Raw genomic sequence first — 9,438 nt, 5'->3', positions numbered from 1 at the left:
GACCTCAGGTGATCCACCCACCTCAGCCTCCCAAAATGGGATTACAGGCATGAGCCACCGCTCCCAACTTCATTCATTTTTACTTGAAAAACTCCGTTAAGCATTTTTTTAAGGTAGACCTAGTGGTCCTGAATGCCCTCAGCTTTGTTTGTCGAGGAAACATGTTATTTCTTTTTCCTTTCTGAAGGACAGCTTTGTCAGACATAGTATTAGTTGCTGGCAGTTTTTTTCTTTCAGCACTTTGAATGTATTATTCGATTCTGTCCTGACCTGCAAAGTTTCTTTAACTTCTGATTATTTGATTATATTGTGACTTGGTGAGTATCTATTTGGTTTGAACCTCTTTAGGAATCTTTAAGCTTCATGGATTTAGATGTCTAAATCTTTCCCATGATTTAGGCAGTTGTCAGCCATTCTTTAAATAAGCTTTATTCTCCTTTCTCTACTTTCCTTCTCAAACTCCCATAACCTGACAATGGTTTGCTTAATGGTGTCTTGTTGGCTTTCTTTTCTCTGTCTCTTTTTTTTTTCTTTTTGAGACAGAGTCATGCTCTGTCACCCAGGCTGGAGTGTAATGTGTGGTCTCGGCTCACATTGCACTCCAACCTCCGCCTCCTGGGTTCAAGCGATTCTCCTGCCTCAGCCTCCCAAGTAGCTGGGACTACAGGTGTGTGCCACCACACCCGGCTAATTTTTGTATTTTTAGTAGAGATGGGGCTTTGTCATGTTGGACAGGCTGGTCTTGAACTCCTGACCTCTTAATCTGCCTGCCTCGGCCTCCCAAAGTGTTGGGATTACAGGCTTGAGCCACCACACCCAGCCTTCTTTTCTCTCTTTTATTCTTTTTTTCTCTGTCCTCTGACTGGATAATTTCGGAAGATCTATATTCAAGTTTACAGATTCTCTCTCCTGTTGAAGTTGACTATTGTGTTATATCACCCAGTCTGGTCTTGAACTCCTGGGCTCAAGCGATCCTCCCACCTTGGCCTCCCAAAGTGCTGAGTTTACAAGCATGAGCCACTGCATCCAGTCAGTCCCAGCACTTTGGGAAGCTGAGGTGGGAGGATCACTTGAGCTCAGGAGTTTGAGACCAGCCTGGGCAATGTACTGAGAACTTGTCTCTATATTAAAAAAAAAAAAAAAAGTCTTTGGGAGGCCAAAGCGGGAGGATCACCTGAGGTCAGGAGTTCGAGACCGGCCTGGCCATCATGGCAAAACCCCATCTCTACTAAAAATACAAAAATTAGCCAGGTGTGGTGGCACACGCCTGTAGTGGTGGTGCATGCCTATAGTCCCAGCTACTCAAGAGGCTGAGGCAGGAGAATCACTTGAACTGGGAGATGGAGGTTGCAGTGAGCTGAGATCGCACCAGTGCACTCCAGCCTGGGCAACAGAGTGAGACTCCATCTTATAAAAGGAAAAAAGAAAGAAAAGAAAAATTCCATATCTGAGTGTTTACTCCTGAGTTTTTGAGATTGTTATTAAGATCGTGCTCTACTGTGATGATTTGGGTTTGTTTGATAATCAGAAAAATAGCGTATTCTTTTAGGTGTTCAGCCACACTGCTTTGGTGTCACAACTGCACATTGGTTTCACAGCTGCAGGACAAGTTCGAGCATCTTAAAATGATTCAACAGGAGGAGATAAGGAAGCTCGAGGAAGAGAAAAAACAACTGGAAGGAGAAATCATAGATTTTTATAAAATGAAAGCTGCCTCTGAAGCACTGCAGACTCAGCTGAGCACCGATACAAAGAAAGACAAACATCGTAAGAAGCAATAGTTTCTCTTACTATTCTGAGAGCCTTATCATTCTACATCCCATCTTCCTGTGAGTTTGTCTTTGTAGCATTTAACTCTAATTGCAGTTCTCATTTTAAAAACTGGCTTGCTTATTGTATATTTTCCCCAACTAAAGCGTGAACTCCTAGCAGGGCGTGGTGGCTCATGCCTGTAATCTCAGCACTGTGGGAGGCCGAGGTGGGTCGACTACCTGAGGTTAGGAGTTCGAGACCAGCCTGACCAACATGATGAAACGCTGTCTCTACTAAAAATACAAAAATTAGCTAGGCGTGGTGGCTGGGACCTGTAATCCCAGCTACTTGGGAGGCTGAGGCAGGAGAATCACTTGAACCCTGGAGGTGGAGGTTGCAGTGAGCAGAGATCTCACCATTACACTCCAGCCTGGGTGACAAGAGCAAAACTGCATCTCAAAAAAAAAAAAAAAGGGGGTGAACTTGAAGGCAGGTCCTGTGTCCATCTTTTCAGATTCTGTATCCCAGCACTTAGGACATAGACAAACACGAAGATGACAATCAATATTTGCCAAAATGAAAAAACAAAAGAAACATGTAACATCATGTAAAAGAAGCTGGTTAGGTGGAGAAATTTATTTACCATAGTCTTGCTTGTGGATCCAGTAGTGACTTTTACAGTTTATATCTAAATAGAAGCTGGAGGCTTTGTTGGGGACTCATAGGCATAAAATATTATTTATTATAGAGTTAAATGCTACAAAGACAAATCTAATTAATAGGCCTATTTTCCTTTTTAAATTCTACTCATAATTTCTTCATAGTTTTTATGATAAAAGGTTGGATTTTGATTAGAACTCCCATGATTTTGTGTCAGAATTAAAACTGGTATTAGAATAAATAATTCAAAAGCTAGAGAAAGAGTACAAAGAGAAGCCATGAGTTGCATTTGAATTATAATATTATGTCTTACAGATTTGGGGTATATGCTAAAGTTACCAAAGTTGTAGAAAATAAGGCCGGGCATTGTGGCTCACATCTGTAATTCCAGCACTTTGGGAGGCCGAGGTGGGCGGATCATTTGAGGTCAGGAGTTCGAGACCAGCCTGGCCAACATGGTGAAACTCCGTCTGTACTAATAGTACAAAAATTAGCCAGGCGTGATGGTGTGCACCTGTAGTCCTTGCTACTCAGAAAGCTGAGGCAGGAGAATCGCTTGTACCCAGGAGGCAGAGGTTGCAGTGAGCAGAGATTGTGCCACTGCACTCCAGCCTGGGTGACAGAGTGCTATGAGTCACCACACCTGGTATGAGCCACCGTGCCTGGCCCACAATGACTTTTACACATGTTGTTAAACCATCTTACAGATTTTATAATTTGGGGGAAGAACAGTTTTACTAAATTGTCTTTTAATGGAAACTCTACAAGAACCAGAATCTTTGCTTTGTTCACTTATGTATCCATTCCTAGGCCTAGAAAAATGTCTGACACATAGCGGCAATTATTCATTGAATAAATGGACCCAGCGATAGTACATTAGCTATGCTATATGCATACATTAAAGATGTAGATTATCGACTTTCAAAAGATAATTAATGTAACTTCTTACTGCTTCTGAACATGTTTGTGAGTTATATTGCTGAGGGACCTTTATCTTCTCATTCTTTCATCTTAACCCAGTGTTATAAAATTGAAATCACCAATATTATTCCATATCTAAAATTAATATCTACCTTGTAAAAAATATCACTCTGCTGCATTTGAGAATAGACTTTTTAGGTAATAATGATGCAATCCATAGGGTTTTTTGGGGGCACAGAGGGATTCATGCTAACAGAACATTTTATTTTCTATTTTCCCAGAGCTGTAAAACATGAAATTACGGTAGTATAAGGCATATTTTTACTCTTTTTATAATTTTTTCTAAAAAAAATTAGTGTTTGTTCCCTATATAACTTTTAACTTTATAGGTAAATATTTGTTTCTTTCAGCTCCAGTTTTATGTGAAATAGAGTTTTCAGATTTATGTAGCATGGAAAGTTTTAATACGTCAGAGTTACTGATTTTTACCAATCATTTTCTCAATTATTTCTTTTTTATCTTTAGTTGATTTTTTTGTAGTGACACATTTTGTTTCTAGTCTCATTTCCTTTTGTTTATATTCTATATATATTTCATTTTTGGTTACTATGAGAATTACATATAACATCCTAGAGTTATAACATTTTAATTTGAATTTATTTCAACTTAAGTTCAATCACATACCAAAATTCTACTGCTATATATATAGCTCTACTCTTTTTATGTTATTGATGTGACAAATTATATCTTTATTCATTGTATACCAGCTAACAGATTTACAATTACATTTTATGCATTTGCCTTTTAAATTATGTAGAAAATAAAAAGCAGAGTTACAAACCAAAATTACAATAGGACTGTTTTTATGTTTGTTTATGTATTTACCTTTACCAGAGAGCTTTGTATATTCATACAGCTTGCTTATTTACTTACATAGTTATTGCCTAGAGTTCATTTATTTCAACCTGAAGGACTTAACACTTCCTGAATGTCAAATTCAGGGATAAATGGATTTTTTTCAGTTTTAAAAAAAAATCCGGAAATGTCTTAATTTCTCCTTCATTTTTGAAGGATAAGTTTTCCAGCTATATATTTCTCAATTGACAGGTTTCTTCATTATTTTAAATATATAATCCACTGCCTACTGGCCTTCAAGGTTTCTGCCGAGAAATCAGCTGCTAATGTTATCTGGATCCCTATCTGTGAGAGTTGCTCTTCTCTCTGAGTTTTCAACATTCTCCCATTATCTTTTTTTTGTTTGTTTTTGAGACAAATAATTGTACATATTCATGGGATACAGAGTGATATTTTGATACATGTATACAATGCCCAATGATCAAATAAGGATAATTAGCATATCCATCACCTCAAATATTTGTCATTTATTTGTATTGTGAACAGTCAACATTCTTTCTTCTAGTTTTTTAAATTTATAAACATTTAAATTTTATTACAGAAATTTAAATTTTTTGATTCTGAAAAAGTCATATATGTATGCAACATTTTTTATCATTTATTTATATATTTATGCATCTTTCCTTTTAGTTTTGACAGAGATTTTCTATTTTATCATTATTTCAAAAGAACTCTTACCTGTATTTATTTATCAAGTATATTTCCCTTGTTTTTTCCTAGTATATTAATTTATTTACTTATCTTCTAAAAATCCTCCATATAATCTGTTTATTTTGTTTCCTTTCTATAATTTCTTCAATAATTAGTTCTGTTCTATTTTCCATTAAAATATTTAAATCTTGTATGAATTTTTGTCAGATTAGAAATTTAGGGCGTTTCTTAATTTCTCTATACTCTAGCTTTTGACTTTTTTTTTCTGACCTAAGAGGTATTTAGAGCACATTTTAGATTTTTTATTTTGACTAATCATTTAAAATGTATACTAATCTTCAATTTAAATAAAAAACTGGTCTATAGTGACAAAAATTACAAATGAGCCTAACTAATAAATTATCAGCTGTGTTTATATGTATAAGCATGCACAGATTTTGTTAAATATGTACATAGTATATTGGTGAGCTTATTTTTATCATTCTTAACTCATTGTGTAGTCTAAACGTTGGGGAAAAAATAAAATACAATAATCAGATGGTGTGAATAAGAAAATTGTTCTAATGTTTGTAAACCAAGCAACTGTTTTAACTGCTCCCCTCTTCCTGATTGACTTCTAAAAGGGATTGATCCATATTGGGTCCTATCATATACGTCACGGTATAACATCTCCAGCTATAAAATGGAAATTTGAGAATAACTTTGCTGCTACTCAGATACATTTTATTTCAAAAACATACACTAAGGTGTTGCTGTTGGATCTTTCCAAAAACATATTCACACAGAACTTTCAATCACACTGAGCCATATTTGAACAATCTTTCAAGGTCAGCTCTGGCATAAGCTAACATTATACCATTTAACTCAGAAATTTCTTTAGTATTTGATTAATGGGTTTATGTTTGATATGTAATGTAATTTTCTAATGCTAAATCAAGTGGTAATTTTGTTAGTCAAGTTGATTTAGTGGCTTGGGAAGAAAGCTTTTAATGTTCCCCTAATTTTTCTTACCTTTGACATGATCCTTCACAGGTCTTATTTTGCTTAGTGATTTTTCTTTTTTTTTTTTTTTTTGAGACAGGGTCTTACTCTACCACCCAGGCTTGAGTGCAGTGGTGCAATCACAGCTCATTGCAGCCTTGACCTCCCAGACTCAAGCTATTCTTCCACCTCAGCCTCCCAAGTAGCTGGTACTACAGGCACATGCCACCAAACTTGGCTAATTTTTGTATTTTTTGTAGAGACAGAGTTTTGCCAAATTCTCAGGCTGGTCTGGAATTTCTGGGCTCAAGTAATCCTGCCTTGGCCTCCCAACATGCTGATATTATAGACATAAGCCACAGTACCTGGCCAGTTTTCTTTTTAAAAAAATCTATTGGTTATTAATTTGAAGCCTTCCTTTTCATAGCTGTGCTCCTTAATTGGGAGCAAACATGAATGGACCACAACTTAGCCAATTTTCTATATACGATCTTTGCCATCCTAATTTAAAGGAATATTAATTCTTTCTTTTCCTCTTTCATTCCACAAACCTGTATTGACTACATCTAAGTTCTAAATGGTGCACTGGATGTTGAAAAAGTTGATGATGAGCAAGAACAAAATTCCTGCTTTCAGGAGACTTACAGTTCAATATGGGAAATATAATTTGTTAAAATATAAAAGTGCAATTGTGTTACATGCTGTACGAAGTACATGTTGACATGTGAGCATATAATAAATGGGCTGGAGGCCAGAGGATTGCCAAAGAGAATGGGCCTCCTGCTGAGATGAAAAGTTGAGCAGGGATTAGTTGGCGAAAGTGGAGGGACGATCCTTTCTAGGCAGGAGGAAGAACATGTACAGAATCTCTGAGGTGTGATGCGACAAAGTCTATATAAAAAACTGAAGAAAGGTCTAATGTGGCTTAAATACAGAAGCTAGTAGGAGAGGAGTCGAAAACAGGCTGGAGAAGTAGAAAGTGTCTGCATTCTGCAGGAACTTATATTGTATAAAATATATTGTATATTGTATAAAAAGAATTTCTCTTTATTCTAAGTGCAATGTGAAGCCAATGAAGTGCTTTAAACAGGTGATGTGATTTGATTGAATTTATTACTTCACTTAACAAATATTCATTACATGCCCACTGTTTGTCAGATATTGCTGTAGCCCCTGGTGATACAGTAGGGAATAAAACAGGCAAAAATCCCTGTCCTCTTGCAGCTTATAATGGACTGCAATGTTTAATATGTCAGAGGAGGTCCACGGAGGAGTGACTTCTAAGCAAGAATCTGAAAAAAATAAGGATATCTAAGGAGGGAACAAATGGTTCAAAAGCCCTATAATTGCAAGCAGGCATGATGAAGCAATTGCAGTTGTCCTGACTCTCAACACCGTGGAACTCAAAGGAGATGGAAAGATTCCTTCTCTCCCTCATATATTTTCTCTCTTTCTGTCTATATATATAGAATATGAGACATTTCCCTAATCATTATGTGTAATTACAATTACATATGTAATTGTAATTACACATAATGATTAGGGAAATGTCTCATATTCTTCTACTCAGAAATAAGCAATATAGCAATTACTGTTTTTTACATTTTACAGTTACAGTTTCAGAGAAAGTTTGATATTTATCTAAAATTTTTCAATGTATGAACTTTTTCATTTGACAAACCATAATTGTACATATTCTTGGGATACAGAGTGATATTTTCTTTACATGTATAGAATGTGTAGTGATCAAATCAGGGTAATTTCCACTAATTTAAAATGCCACCTTTATGTTATTGTAATTTATATATATACTATATATATACACACACATATATATATACATGTCCACATACAGTGTGTGTGTGCACATGTACACACATGCATATGTGTATATAATGCCCAGTATAAGCAATGTGCACAAATAAAATTAGCTAACAGAGATAGTATAGAGTGAGAGGAGAGGCAGATTAATCTTTGAGGAAAAGCACAATTTTATAGCTGAATGGAGAAAGCTGAGGTGGTTTCTAAGATGGAGAATAAGACGAAAAATGTAAGTACGTTGTTTGACTGAATTCAAGAAAGAAGGGTAAAAGAGAAGAAAGTAGTGGTCTTATCATTAAATGCCACAGAGAGGTAAAGATAAAGACAACATATTGTTTTGGGTTTAGTAATTTAAGGGTTACCAAATTCCGTTTTGGAGGAGGAACAGATTCCATGTCCACTAGAATGGAATGAACAAGAAATGGAGGAGGAAAATAGGTAGTTTTTCAAAAGTTTTCAAAAATATGAAAAGAAGAAATGAAGTGGTACTTGGAAGAGATTGTTGAAATGGGAGAGACTATGGTGGCTTGTTTAGAAGCAGTTGAGATCCAATTGAGATAGAGATATTGACTATATAAACAAAAGAATGACAAATTAATAGTGTAATGGATAACTTGACTTTGGCAAATATTGTGAATTTTTGTGAAAGTACAACTAAAAGGCAATGTCACTCCAATAATCACCAGAGTAATCAATTTGCTTATTGCTGTCCCTTTAAATATAGTTCTCTGGTATCAACTAACATGTTTTTAACTAATGATGCTTCTTAAAGAAAAGGGAAAAGACCTTTTTCTTTCTTTCAGTCTTCAATGATTCACTGCTTCATCTCGCTCCACCAAAGATAAATGAAATCTACATCTCTTATACATTAACAATGCATGACAATTTACAAATAGCTAAATTTTTGGAGCTAACTTTAAGTACCTGAATGGAATTTAATCAACCCACTAATCTCCTTCTCACTTCTCAGTTATTTATCAAGTTTATGTCAAGGGACAAGGAAAAATTATCCAAACATTGTTTAAAACAATCATCATTAATTAGTAACACTTATCCAGGGGGGTTTTTAACCTTTCCCCCACTCAAGGATTATTCTAATGTCAGAGTAGAATAAAAAATAAGTGCAGCGATGCTGACTCTTCCAAGCTTAACATTTCTCACAAGTCAATTAGCTTTGTACTGGGAGGAGGGCGTGAAGGGCTGCTTGCGGTAGTTGTGTAGCAGCAGCACAATGGCCGCAGACAAGGAAAACAGTTTCTAGGAATTCCTCGTATATAATTTTATATTTTTGACAAGATTAATGACCCATGCTCCCTTCCTCTCCATTTCTTTTTTTGGAATTCTGTTGGTATGTAGTTACTATATTTTATTAAAGGAAATTAGCCTTATCTCTTATTATATTTTATTAAAGAAAATTATTATATTATTCCTTTATATTTTTATTAAAGGATTTTATTATTATTAAAGGAAATTAGCCTTATCTCTTATTATATTTTTTATGACCTTCAAAGTAGTGTCTCTGCTTAAAAGTGTACCCTGGCCGGGCGTGGTGGCTCACACCTGTAATTCCAGCACTTTGGGAGGCCGAGGCGGGTGGATCACGAGGTCAGGAGATCGAGACCATCCTGGCTAACACGGTGAAACCCCGTCTGTACTAAAAATACAAAAAATTAGCAGGGCATAGTGGCGGGCGCCTGTAGTCCCAGCTACTCAGGAGGCTCAGGCAGGAGAATGGCA

At 35.9% G+C, this 9,438-nt stretch overlaps 1 pseudogene; it reads left to right on the top strand.

The window, feature by feature from the left end:
- On the top strand, positions 1,597-4,179 carry SEPTIN14P11 (septin 14 pseudogene 11; annotated as a pseudogene).

Source organism: Homo sapiens, chromosome 11 (genome assembly GCF_000001405.40).
Source record: "Homo sapiens chromosome 11, GRCh38.p14 Primary Assembly".
Taxonomy (NCBI): Eukaryota; Metazoa; Chordata; class Mammalia; order Primates; family Hominidae; genus Homo; species Homo sapiens.
This window is presented reverse-complemented; position numbering and strand designations above follow the sequence as displayed.